The following is a 13589-nucleotide window of genomic DNA, read 5'->3' as shown; positions in this document are numbered from 1 at the left end:
TGCAGTAACACTGCTGCCTTCAGTCGCAAAGCAATCTGAGATTTAAAGTGCCATGCTTATATTTAGTTAGGTTTCTGAGGCAGCAAATGTCTCAATGATTTTGCAGGTGGCAAACAATAAACATGTGCAGAGATGTACTGAAAAATGCTTTAAATGGATTGTTGGGACTACTTCAAAGGGAACATCTCATTACTGGTGTTGTAAAGAGCTTGAGCTCTAAGTCATTGGAAAATGAACCCAGCCAAGTTGCTGATAGTGTAGTGGTTCACAGGACAATTCCTAAGTAATGCATAGGTGCTTTGGTTTCTATAAAAGGTCTGAGTGAGGTTTTTGCTACCTGATCTTTGCCATATTATTTTTTAAACCCAGGTTTTAATAGTTAGGAAGACTTTTCTACCAAGAAAAAAATGTAAAAGCTTGAGTCAACATAACGTTTCGGAAAGTATGTCAAATTTTACTGAAATGAGCCTATAAGGAATTCAAATATAATTTTGCCAGGAAACTAGAGTGGTATATATACTTACAGATGTCAGTGGCTTGAAAATATACTGTTTATTCAGTTATTCATTTGGCAAATGCTTACTGAGTACCCACTGTGTACTAACCACAGTTCTAGGCCCAGTGAGAGTTACACAAATGGAAGAGGGCAGAATTGCTGCTTTCAAGTTCCTCTAAGTCCAGTAGGTAGGCGTGTTACTTGATATCAGGTAAGTTACTTGATATCATTGAGCTTCCTCATTCGTAAAATGAGGGTAATAGTACTCACATTGTACATTTTGGGGCTTAGAGATATGAAATACCAAGCGACATACCTGGCACAAAATAGGCTTTTGATAACCTGTAATTATTGTCATCGTCATTTGAGAAGGAACATGCAGCATATAGTATATGTTGTGGGGGAGGTACCAAAGATATTCAGTGGCAGTTTAAAGAAAGAACAGACCATTTTAGGATCAGGGACCCAAAAAAGCTTGCGGAAGAGGTGGCATTTGAGCTGGGCCTTGAAGAATAGAATTTCAGTAGGTTGAGGTGGGAAGAGGGTATTTCAGAGATAACTGCAAGCCTTTCCTGAAATAACTGGAAAAGCAATAGCATTCAGTTTGGAGGTAAAGAGTGTGTGAATTGAAGTAGAAAGTTGGAATGGCAAACTAGCCCAAGATTGTGAAAGGCCTAGAATGTCAGGTTAAAGAGTTGAACCTTGTTGTCAATGGGAGCTTCGTCGAAGGGTTTCCCTGGTGCCCAGAACAGTGTCCCCCCCATAGTAGGCACTCAGCAAATACTTACTGAATAAATAACTGAGTGTAATTTTAGACAAATGGAGCTTAGTAAGCCAGGTAGAAATGTCTTACAAATAGCTGGGAACATAGGACCAGAAGTCAATTCTGAGATTGAGACTGAAGGTAGAAATTTGAACAGCGTGAATATAGAAGAAGTTATTGGAGTTGCACGTGTGGATAACTTGATTTAAGGAGAACATCATGTAGCTCTAGCCAGAGAAGAGAGCTCAGACAACACCCCTATTTGACCAGGAAGGGAAGGAAGAAGATGGAGACTAAGTGGGTAGAAATGAGAAGAAAACTTCAGTGAATGTGGTACCCACAAAACCCTGGGAGGAAACTTTTAAGGAGGGGCTGGTTAACAGCACAAGGAATTTAAGGACTTTGGGAAACACTAATGGCTGTGTAACAAGGAGGTCCCTTGGTGGCTATAGAAGAGAAGTTCAATTGAGTGGGGTCTTGTGTCAGGTTGTAAGGTATAAGTAGGCACAGCACTCCCTGGGACATTTTTTTTTGTCTGTTTTTTTTTTTTTTTTTTTTTTTTGGCAAGGTTAGTATTTACTGGTATTTGATTTTTTTGGAGCATACATTTAAACAAACAGTGTGCCCAAACTGTGTATATAGTTTTGATTCCAATTAAATATTGGATAAAAGTACACCTATTTATTTTCACTGAGTTATGAGATCATGACTGATTTTTATTTTCTTTTCCATATCTGTCACTATTTACCAGAGTTTCTACAAGTATTTATTACTTTTAGAACTGGAAAAAAATTATATAAATTATTTTTATTTATTTATTTATTTTGAGACAGGGTCTCACTCTGTCCCCCAGGCTGGAGCGCAGTAGTTCAATCACAGCTTACTACGACCTTGAACTCCTGGGCTCAAGGGATCCTCTTGCCTTAGCCCCCTGAATAGCTGGGACTACAGGCACATGCCACCACACCTGACTAATTTTTTATTTTTAGTTTTATTTATTTATTTATTTTTGAGATACAGTCTCACTCTGTCGCCCAGGCTGGAGTGCAGTGGTGCAATCTTGGCTCACTGCAAGCTCCGCCTCCCGGGTTCACGCCATTCTCCTGCCTCAGCCTCCCGAGTAGCTGGGACTACAGGTACCCGCCACCATGCTCAGCTAATTTTTTGTATTTTTAGTAGATGAGGTTTCACCATGTTAGCCAGGATGGTCTCCATCTCCTGACCTTGTGATCCACCCGCCTTGGCCTCCCAAAGTGCTGGGATTACAGGCATGAGCCACTGCGCCCGGCCTATTTTTAATTTTTTGTTTGTAGAGAAAGGGTCTCACTATGTTGCCTAGGCTGGTCTTGAACTCCTGGCCTCAAGTTATCCTCCTGCCTCAGCCTCCCAAAGTGCTGGGATTATAGGTGTGAGCCACCACCTCCAGCCCAAATTATTTTTTTAATGGTATGCTCTTTATGTATGTGGCAATAGTCTTCTCTTTCATTTAAACTTAGATAAAATGTAGCAATTTAATGTTTGCTTCAAACCTATGAAAATGGGATTCCATCTGTGTTTCTAGCTGTCTGTTTCATCTGATAGGCCTCTGAGCTCTTTTTATGAGGTCCACCCTGGCACCATTTCCTTACTAGCTGCTTGCGGCATGCCTGTGCTCCATCCACATCCTTACGTCACCATGTAGCCTCGTGGTCCAGAAAGGCCATTTTACTAGGGGCAGATCCTCTTGTGGTGTGTCCTTCACATTATGTAACTCTTAGAAAATTCTCAGTCGGCCACAACCTTCAACCAAGGTGATGTGAACGCCCTCAATGTGGACCATCCTTGTAATCACCCTTGGCTCTTATTTTTGAAAATTGATAGACATAAGTTGTCCTAGGTGTCTTTGCCATTGCAGTTTTCTTCCCAGTCCAGCTGCTTCTAAAATGATATGGCCCCAGACACCTTCAGCACTCATAATATTCTAAGTCACTTAGCTAAGAGGGAGGAAGTCAGCGCTTTTACCGTCCAGCTCAGGAGGACACAGCATCTCTGTGTGAGTCAGGGTAGAATTATTACTCATAAGTGCTTCTGTCTCTGTGTGGGAGAACTACTGTATTCATCCTGTTAATTAGCCTTGCCTAACGAGCATGTAAAAAACAGATTTCTTAGTTAGGAAATAGCGATACACTGATTCGTTTTGATGCATGCATAGGATTCTTTGGGTTGAGCTCTTTTATTTCCTCAATTTCTCAATCTATTAAATAGGGGAAATACCCCTTCTTACAGAAAGGGCATTCTATACAAATATAAGATAAAATGTCTATAGGTCACTGAGTTTGGCTGAAAAGCAGTGTATTATAAATAGTTCGTTGCTGACTTTGCCTTTGTTGGACTGACAGATCTTTCCAGGAAGAGATGAGGAACACTTGGTTGTTGAATGGGTGAGGTCCAATGGAGTGCTCCATAATTATGTAGCAGTTTACATTTGTAAAGGCATGTTGGAGCAGCTACCTAGTGAATGATCCACACGCAAAGCAATTCGATGTTAGCAACTCTATGGGATACAGGTAGCTGAGTAAGGCATGCAGAGGTTAAATGGTTTGCCAGAGGCCACCCAGCAAGTGAGTGGTTGAGCCAGATTTAGAACACAGTTCTAATTAGCTCCTGATTTCCAGTTTTGTACTGAGGCAAGCCACACTGCACCCACATGCTGATCTTATTCCCTTCACTTTGTCAGAGGAAGGTCCCCTTTATATTTTGACCTATCTGAATATATTTATTATATTTTGATTAATTTCAAAACTAAATGAGGCAAGCTAGTAAGAAGTACTCAATTATAGAAATTAAACTTGACATCAGACTGTTGTACTGTAGTGAATTTGAGGGCTATAGAGCTCAGGAAAAAGATGAAATTCCAAAGAGTAAGGTTGGAAAACAGAGCCTAAAAGAATGAAGACAGAGTATTTAGGAAGATAAGTAAGAAGGTCACGGTGTCTGCAGTCAAGTAGCTCAGAGTTTAGAGTAGGATCTAGAGAGACTGGCTGATCATTTTGGTACAATTTGGCAAACCCAGGTGCTATGAGAGCCTGACCGACTAGGAAGGGCTCTTATGCTTTTGTCCCAATTTGGACAAAAGCATGGAGGAGTAAAACAACAAGGTGGGTGGGTGTTCGTCAAGAACTTTAAACTGGAGAAGTAGATAGGTCATGAGGCGCTATCTCTTATGCAATGCGACAACAATGCATTTGTTCAACGCATGCACATGCGTGTGTGTGTGTGCCAAACACTATTCCATGTATTTGGGGTCCATTAGTGAACACAATGAACACAAATTCCTGGACTTGTAGAGCTTATATTTTAGTGGAGAGAGAGAAACACTAAATGTTAAATAAGTCAATTAAATGGTATGTTAGAAGATGGCAAATGCTTAAGGAAAAAGGGTACCTCAAGCCAGGTGATCAAGGTTAACATGAACAGTAGTAAGTCATGTTCATAGTATATAACCTTAATATTATATGATGAGAATGGTACTTTGCCTCCGTGGGCTTCCACTCAAAAACATATAGCCCTGGTTTAATAATGAGAAAAACATCAGACATGTCCAAAATGAGGGACATTCTATGAAATACCTGACTATTACTCCTCAAAACTGTCAAAGACATCAAAAACAGGTAAAGTCTGAGACATTGTCATAGCCAACACAAGGCCCAAGAAACATGACAACTAAATGTCATGTGGTATCCTGTATAGGATCCTGGAATAGATAGAGGACATTAGGGAAATATGAAGAATTCTGAAAAAAGTATAGACTTAAGTTAATAATAATGTAACAATATTGGTTCATTAATTGTGACAAATGCATCATACTAATGTGAGATGTTACATAGAGGAAACTGAGCATGGGGTATATAGGAACTGAGTGTATTATCTTTGTAATAATTTTATAGATATAAAACTGTTGGCCAGGAGTGGTGCCTCACGCCTGTAATCCTAGCACTTTGGGAGGCCAAGGTGGGCGGATCACCAGAGTTCAAGAGTTCAAGACCAGCCTGGCAACATGGTGAAACACCGTCTCTACTAAAAATACAAAAATTAGCCAGGCGTGGTGGCGGGCGCCTTTAATCCCCACTACTCAGGAGGTTGAGGCAGGAGAATCGCTTGAACGCCGTGGGGTAGAGGTTGCAGTGAGCTGAAATCGTGCCACTTCACTCTAGCCTGGGCGAAAGAGCAAAACTCCGTCTTGAAAAAAACAAACAAACAAAAAACTGTTTTAAAATGAAAAGTTTATTTAAACAGAAGCAGAGTAAGGGAGATCAAGAGTCTAGGGCAGAGAACTGCATTATAATTTTAAAGAGGGTGGTCAGGGAGGGTCATATGAACAATTACCTAAGGAGAGAGTTGTCCATGTTGGGGTATCTGGGGGAAGAGCAAATGCAAAGGCCCTGAGGTGAAAACTTGTCTGCAAGTTTAAGAGCATGAAAGTGCTCGTGGGGCCTCTTACCTTCTTTGGGCCTCAGTGGCTTCTTCTATGAAATACTAAGGTTGAAAACATAATCCCAAAGGCCAATTTCCTTGTCTAACAGTCTATGGCTTTAGACCATGTGGGTTAGAAGTATTCCACCAACCAGCATGGCCAACAATGGTGATATACATTTTTTTTTTTTTTTGAGACAGGGCATTGCTCTGTTGCCCAGGCTGGAGTGCAGTGGCGTGATCTCAGCTCACTGCAACCTCCGACTCTCTGGTTCAAATGATCCTCCTCCCACCTCAGCCTCCCGAGTAGCTGGGACTACAGGTGCACACCATCATGACTGGCTCATTTTTGTATTTTTAGCAGAGATGAGGTTTCACCATGTTGGCCAGGCTGGTCTCAAACTCTTGGTGGATCAAGTGATCTGCCTGCCTCCCACAGTGCTGGGATTACAGGCATGAGCCACTGCACCTGGCCTGTTATATACTTCTAACCATCCTGCAAATACCAAGCCAGAAGCATAAAAAATAATATATCTAGATAGTTTGATAAATCAAAAAAAAAAGAGAAAGAAACAAATAATTTTTTGAAGGTTATTTGCACCTTATCATGAGTAAAGACTAAATTTGAAACACTGGATGAGAAAAGGAATATCAGTAATCTTCAATTAACAACTTAATGCTCTGAACCTTGGTGCCTTCTTTATAAAATGGGAAACTTGTACTTTGTTTATGTTCATTTCAGTTTTTAGTAAGGAAAGAACAAAACGTTTTAAGATTTATTATATTTATGTATATTTCCGTCTCTGGTATACAAGATGAAATTGAAAAATATCCCAAGTTTCAAAATTACAGAAGCACTAAAACCCTGTTACATAGTTGGAGAGACTGAAGGTTTAACTTTAGACTCAGAAAAAAACCCTGTTTACAGCTAGAAATGTTTTATAACTAATGTATATCTCTAAAAATAAATCTGTGCCTTGCTTCATGAAGTACTAACATAATAAATATCAAAATATATAAAAGTAGACAAATTCATAATCATTATCACTTTGCAAGAGGTTCTATAGAGGTGCTATGAACTGCAAACCTCCTTGATCTAAAATAAAGGTCTGTATATATGAGTTTAATTTACATAGGTTAAGCAAAGTAGATTGGTGCTGTTGATATAAATGTAGTGGTTTAATGACCTAAGAGGTAAAAATGAATTTAACCATAAAAATTGTGAAGTTTTTACAAAGAAAGCACATCTATCTACCTTTGCGATAACATATATGTATTAGTCCGTTTTCACACTGCTGATAAAGATATACCCCAAGACTGGGCAATTTACAAAAGAAAGTGTTTTATTGGACTTACAATTCCACATGGCTGGAATCATGGTGGAAGGTGAAAGGCACGTGTCACATGGCAGCAGACAAGAGAAGAACTTGTGCAGGGAAACTCCTCTTTTTAAACTATCAGATCTCATGAGGCTTATTCACTATCACAATAACAGCACAGGAAAGACCTGCCCCCACGATTCGATTACCTCCCACTGGGTCCCTCCCACAACACATGGGAATTCAAGATGAGGTTTGGGTTGGGACACAACCAAACCATGTCAATATATAATGGTGTTGCTAGTTGCCTAGTTTTGCCTACTTATAAGTAGTTAAGGATTAAAAAAGCCCTTGCCTAGTTGTTTTATTTGTTTTTTTTTTTTTCCTGGTAAAAGGTATATGTGACAGTTGGGCACTTGAAATGTGACTAGTGTGACTGAGGAACTTTGACTTTACTAAATTTAAGTTTGAATGGTCATAATGGCTACTATCTACTGTACTGGACAGCATCATTGTCAAGGTCTGCTCTAATTTGGCCTGGTCTTGGTAATCTAGTGTTTGAAAGCATGGGTTACTGCTTATGTAGGATTCTTTCTGCCCAGGTAGAGATGTAAGGTTTGGAACTTGAGTTCTGTAGACAGAAAAGGATGAACTCAAGCCTGCCATTCAGGCCATGACTTCACCTTAAGCTCTTAGACACCCTGCAGACTGGACCCATACTCTGAGGCCAATCCTGGAAGTCTTGGGGAGTTTGGAGCCTGAAACCGTAAGAATGCCAGAGCAATTCTGAAGTCCAGAGTCATCATCAAGCATTATATAATCTAAGTCTAAGAAGCACAAGCACAGTCACATTTGGATTTAAAAAAAGGGCAGAACCTCCTTCTCTGCTTCCCTGTGGTACCTTTAAACCCAACAAATCATCAGTGCCTTCAAAGTTTGTGAAAGGACTCAAGCATTTATGACTTTTAGACTGATTATGATACAGGCCCAGTCACAGAATTCCTAGTCTCTTTTGCTTACTATTTTAGGTCAGCATATCAGAGATTTGCCAGGGCAGTCTTTTCACAAATGCTCTCAAAGCATTTTCTCTGTGTGAGTAAAAGCTATTGACTTTAATTCCTCTTATCAAGTGTTCCTCCCTGCTCCGTGTAAGTTTTTATCCAAAGCGGGTAGTGATATGTATTCCTGACAATGGCACTTCTGTGTAGGTGTTGTCTGCCTTTGTGCTTGAGTACCATAGAACGGGCATAGAGGTGGGAAAGCAATTCGGCAGACTTGTGTACTGTAGAATACAATGAACCATGTGCCAATGTTATCCTGTTTATTTTCTTCCAGGAAATCAAGGATTGGCGTGGCATTGCTTTGACAAGTACTTGCTGTTGTCTTCACAGAGGTCTCACTGAAGAATAATCTCAAAGGAACATTTGGTCTCCCTATACATCTGTTAATGCCCATTAGCCACTAGCAAATGCTTTTAATTACCAGGAAAACATCAACCACTTTGGGTTTGGCCTGCTCCAGGGAGCCCAATGAAGGTTTCTTCCAGTTGTTTCCATAGCTCTATTGCTGAAGCACCCCTCTTGGTTGGGTGAATGTTCATGAAGCCATTTCTGGAACCAGCTTAGGAGGCTAAGGCCTCCTGGAGCCTGTGACATGGAAGCTTTGGAAGTGGATGATATCAGCCCAGCCTTAGAAGTTACGGAGGAATTCTTTAGTACTTTGGATAGTAATCTAGAAAAGGCTGTGCAGCAGGCAGAGGTTTATGGGATCCAGGAAGTCCCTGAACTGGTGGGGCATGAGGTACTCAGTAACATAACAGACAATGGTGCTATGAGAAATGTCACCTCCCTGGGCAAGGGGGGCATGATTTGGGACCACTGTAAGAGCAGGCTCTTAGAAACCAAAGCTCAAAATGTCTTCCCTGCCAAAGAACAGTTTATGGTCCAGAGAGGGACAACCCCAGATAATCTTTCCTGGATGGAACAAAAGGAAGCATCAACCTTTAATTTCTTCAATATCTGTCAGCGTCGGAGGGACCGGCCTCGTTCTGTAAATGACTTACTGGATGAGACCTCAACTTTCAAGCCAGGGCATGCTCGATCACGATCAGATATTACCCAAGTGGACTGGAGGGTAGTCCTCAAAACCACGCCTTTGCAGCAGCAGCAACAGCAGCAGCCATTGCTTCAAGGCCCGCATGTCACCAGGCCATCTTTTCTGTTGCCCTCACCAAATAAGATAGAAGATGCTCAAGGAAATACTGGTATGTTTTTAAATTTTATTTATTTCCTTTTTTTTTTTTTTCTTTTTGGGGCTGTGACTCAGATAAGCTTGTATGTTTTTATATCTGACTTCTACTGAATCATTGTTGGTTTTTCCTTTGTCTCTCTTAATCTGGCTCATGAGAATCTTATGCTCCAGCATCCACATCTGCCTTGCATATTTAAGCTCTCTCTTCCATTTTCTTGTGTACTTTACAGTCTTATTATCTTCCTAAGAGGTATTTAGTGAAAAGACAATTACGGTAAATTCTCCCTTTCTAATCTTGTATGTTAGAATCGGAATACTCTCATACTTAATGTATTAATAGTATTTTTCTGTGCACATTGTATGATACTGCCTGTTCTTATAGTAGATCGTACGTTGGGCTGAGCCTATGCTAGGAAGGATTTAAAGATGTGTGAAGACACAATCCCTGCCCTAAAGAACTTTTCATCTAGCTGAGGGGATCCAACACCAGCAAAGACTCAAGAAGGTACTCGGTAATGAGAGACAATAGATGGGCCATTGAAATTGTGGGAGGGGCTTTCATTTTACTCTGTCCATATAAGAGTGAATGGCAGTGACCGTAAAAGGACAGAAGAAGGAGAAGACACTGTGGGTTGGGCTTCTCAGGAAGGGCTTGGCTTGCAAGGGGACATGGAACTTGAACTACATCTGGAAGGACACTAAGATGCAGACATAGAGTCACAGGACATGACACTTCGTCAGGATTATGGTGTAAACAAAGGTGGGGAGAAGGGCGTGCAGAAGAGAGCAAGCAGACCCTGGCAAGTAGAGCAAAGGACCCCATAGCCAGCAGTAACAAGGAAATGGCTGGGGAGGGTGGTTAGGTCCTCCCTCATGGCGGAGGGTCTTGAATTTCCTTTCTCCTCATACTTTATACACATATGTGTGCACATGAATATGTACTCATGAACTTGCTCTTCTGTGAGACACAACAAACTCTCTCACCATTTTCCCCAGAATTTCCTTTGAGATAAGCTCATTTATACAGGCTATCAATTTTTATTGCTAATGACTCTCAATCACCCTACTCATCCTTTAATGTAGATGGCTTCTACTCAATTAACTAGGAGACATTTTTGGTACTTCACTGCTATTTTAGTATTACTTCAGTTTCTATCATTGCATGGTATTCTATTGATGCATTCAACATTCTAATTATAAAAATTAGCTTATAAGTGTAACCCGAGGCAAGGATATAGTTTAATATGTCTGTTAAGCAAATGCAGTGTTCCTGAAATTCATCTTTTTCAAATCTTTTCCACTCTAATTCATGACTTGTAATTCCTTGTCTTCTCTCGTAGGCTCTCACCAGTCTTACATCTAGCCAAGGGTAGTGACCATGGGAGTAAAAAGAAAAGGACATTCCATGTATTTTTTCTTCTTTTAAAATCTGTTTTTTTAGGGACAAGGTCTTGTTGTCTCCCAGGCTGGAATATGATGATGTAATTGTAGCTCATTGCAGCCTCAAACTCTTGGCTCATGGGATCCTCCCACATCAGCCTCTCAAGTAGCTGGGACTACAGGCAGGCCCGGCTAATTTTTTCAGTTTTTTTTAGAGATGGGGTCTTGCTATGTTGCTATGGCTGGTCTTGAGTTCCTGTGCTCAAGCAATCCTTCCATTTCAGCCACCCAAGTAGCTGGGATTACAGGCATGAGCCACCATGCCTGGCTAAGAAAAGGATATTTTAAAGCACAGGACTTGATGACTGATTAGATATTAAGGGACATGGCTGGGCATGGTGGCTCATGCCTGTAATCCCAGCACTTTGGGAGGCTGAGGCAGGCGGATCATTTGAGGTCAGAGACCAGTCTGGACAACATGGCAAAACCCTGTCTCTACTAAAAACACAAAAATTAGCTGGGCTTGGTGGCACGTGCCTGTAGTCCCGGCTACTTGGGAGGCTGAGGCATGAAAATCGATTGAACCTGGGAGGCGGAGATTGCAGTGAGACTGTGCCACTGCATTCCAGCCTGGGTGACAGAGGGAGACTCTGTCTCAAAAAAAAAAAAGATATTAAAGGACATACAAGTTGCTGTAAGCCCAGTGCCTAGCAGAATCATAGCTTTGCTTTGAGCTCATGTACAAGCAGTTGCACCTTCTGATTAGTAAATAACCTCAGTAGCTTTTTGGTTTCTTGGCATTCATTTAGGTTTTTATTACAACCTCCTTAACCATTCTAAATCCCTGGTGTAGCACGAGTCAAGAGGGTGTCCTATTTGCAATTTTATTTTTCCTATCTTGTTTTGATTGTAAATATAGGAATTCAGCCTTCATTAGGCTCTGTAAAGACCTGAACTACTCCTTTGAGTGCTCAACAGACCATGATAATTATTTTTTAATTCTCATGTTTTAAAAAAGTTTGATATTAAATTATGTTGAAATATGAGAACTGAGTGGTAGTTTGAAAAGTCAGCTGTAACAAATGGCATTTGCAAGTATCGCTATAATATATTCTGACCACCATTTATTTATTTATTTTTAAATTTTTTTCCAACAGGGTCTCACTTAGTTGCCCAGGTTGGAGTGCAGTGGTGTAAATCATAGCTCACTGCAGCCTCAGTCTCCCACGCTCATGCGATCCTTCCACCTCACCCTTCCAAATAGCTGGGACTACAGGCATGTACCACCATGCCTGGCTAATTTTTTATTGTTATTATTTTTAGTAGAGACGAGGTCTTGCTATGTTGCCCAGGCTGGTCTCAAACTCCTGGGCTCAAGCAATCCTCCCACCTAGGCCTCTCAAACTGTTGGGGTTACAGGCGTGAGCCACTGCTCCCAGCCACTGCCACCTTTTAGTCATCCAGGAGATAGCGAATGTGAGTAAATGGCATGCCAAGTTTTTGACACCTTTTCTTTCGGCATTCTCTGGAGAGCAGGCAAGATAAATCATATTCCTATTGCCCATCAGTTGAAGGGCAGGGGCAAGCAGTGGCCACCCATTCTCAGGCTGGAGTTCTAGATTGCATGGCTGATCACCTATTCTGAGGCCGGTATTCTCATAAGCATTTGTGGAGGGGTGTGCCAATATCCAGGTGCCAACTAGTCAAAATCAGCCAAGATCTCTGAGTAAAATTTATTTTAAAACCTTTGAAGTTAGTAATCCAAACTGAAGAAAGACTCGTTGTTTCTCCTGAGGAATATGCCAAAAGCAGAGGGAGGCAGTGTAGTACCTTGGCTAGAGCTGGAGATGAGGACCCAGGAGATCTGGGGTCAGGCAAGACCTCTTCCTTGAGCTGCAGACTCGCATCTCCAACTGCCTGGTGAGCATTTTTGTTGAAATGTACCAAAGGCACCTCAAATTCAAAGTGTCTCAAATGACCCATAATCCTCCCTTCTCCCATTCCTGCTGTTCTAAGTTAACAAGGGTTAATGAGAGGCTGGGGGCTCCTCAGAAGAAATAAAATTTCCTCAGTGGATTTCTTTCGATGAGGTCAACAGGTTTTGTGTCTGGTCCTGTCATTCTCTTACTTGCTGGTGTTATTACTGCATGGTTATGTTTTCTCCAGTTAATGTTCATTTTTTTACCTGGCTCTTTTTCTGAACTCACCTTGAATAGCTTAAAGCCTTATTGGAAGTGCTTCTTCCCTCGTCTGCTCCTTCCTCCTACCCTCCTCCATCTCTTTCCTTCCTCCTGTAGTAAGTCCAAGGGTCTTCTTCATCAGGTAGGGCCTCTGCGTCTTCTGTCTCAATTGGTGATGAATAACCAGGCTCTTGAGCCTTTCTGAGGATAAGTGCTGCTTTGGGTGCATAAAGCAAAATTGGGCTCCGGTATAATGAGGGCTGTGGGTAGCTAGGGTGTAGCAGCTATTTTGCTAATAGGGAAGCCTGGTCTGAAGGAGGCCTTCTGGTCAAACAAAGTAGCATATTTGTTAGAAACACTGACTCTAAACCTAGACTGCCAGGGTTTCCAACTTTGCTCTAGTACTTACTAGTTGTGTAATATAAGGCAGGTTTCTTAATCACTCTGTACCCGCATTGTAATTTTTTTTTTTTTTGGACATAAAGTATGAGGTAATGGTAGTACTGACCTCAATTTCTTGTGAGCATTAAATGGGTTAAAACATCTAAAGTGCTTCTTAGAACCATGTTCAGTACACTTGAACACTTAATAAAAGTTTTAAACATTTAATGATATAATTGTTATTATTATGAATTGAATTTGAAACCCATCAGTGAGAATCAAAGTGACACTAACAAGCATTTCAAGTTTTTTTTTGTTATAAAATGGGCCTCATAATAAATATTTCTTGAAATGAATTGGCCTTCCTG

The 13589-nt window shown here is 41.0% G+C and overlaps 1 protein-coding gene across 8 annotated transcripts in view; it reads left to right on the top strand.

The window, feature by feature from the left end:
• The window catches only part of PLEKHM3 (pleckstrin homology domain containing M3), a 204240-nt gene that overhangs the window by 15205 nt on the left and 175446 nt on the right, over positions 1-13589 (top strand). For 7 of the 8 annotated variants that reach the window (XM_017004073.2, XM_005246545.4, NM_001080475.3 and 4 more), the window contains one exon: positions 8366-9293. In XM_017004073.2, coding sequence (XP_016859562.1) covers positions 8684-9293 — 610 coding nt within the window. In that variant the 5' untranslated portion in view covers positions 8366-8683. Of the gene's footprint in view, positions 1-8365; positions 9294-11294; positions 12581-13589 lie in introns of those variants that run through there. The other variant, XM_017004072.3, reaches the window with a different exon arrangement.

Source organism: Homo sapiens, chromosome 2 (genome assembly GCF_000001405.40).
Source record: "Homo sapiens chromosome 2, GRCh38.p14 Primary Assembly".
In the NCBI taxonomy this organism is placed as follows: Eukaryota; Metazoa; Chordata; class Mammalia; order Primates; family Hominidae; genus Homo; species Homo sapiens.
This window is presented reverse-complemented; position numbering and strand designations above follow the sequence as displayed.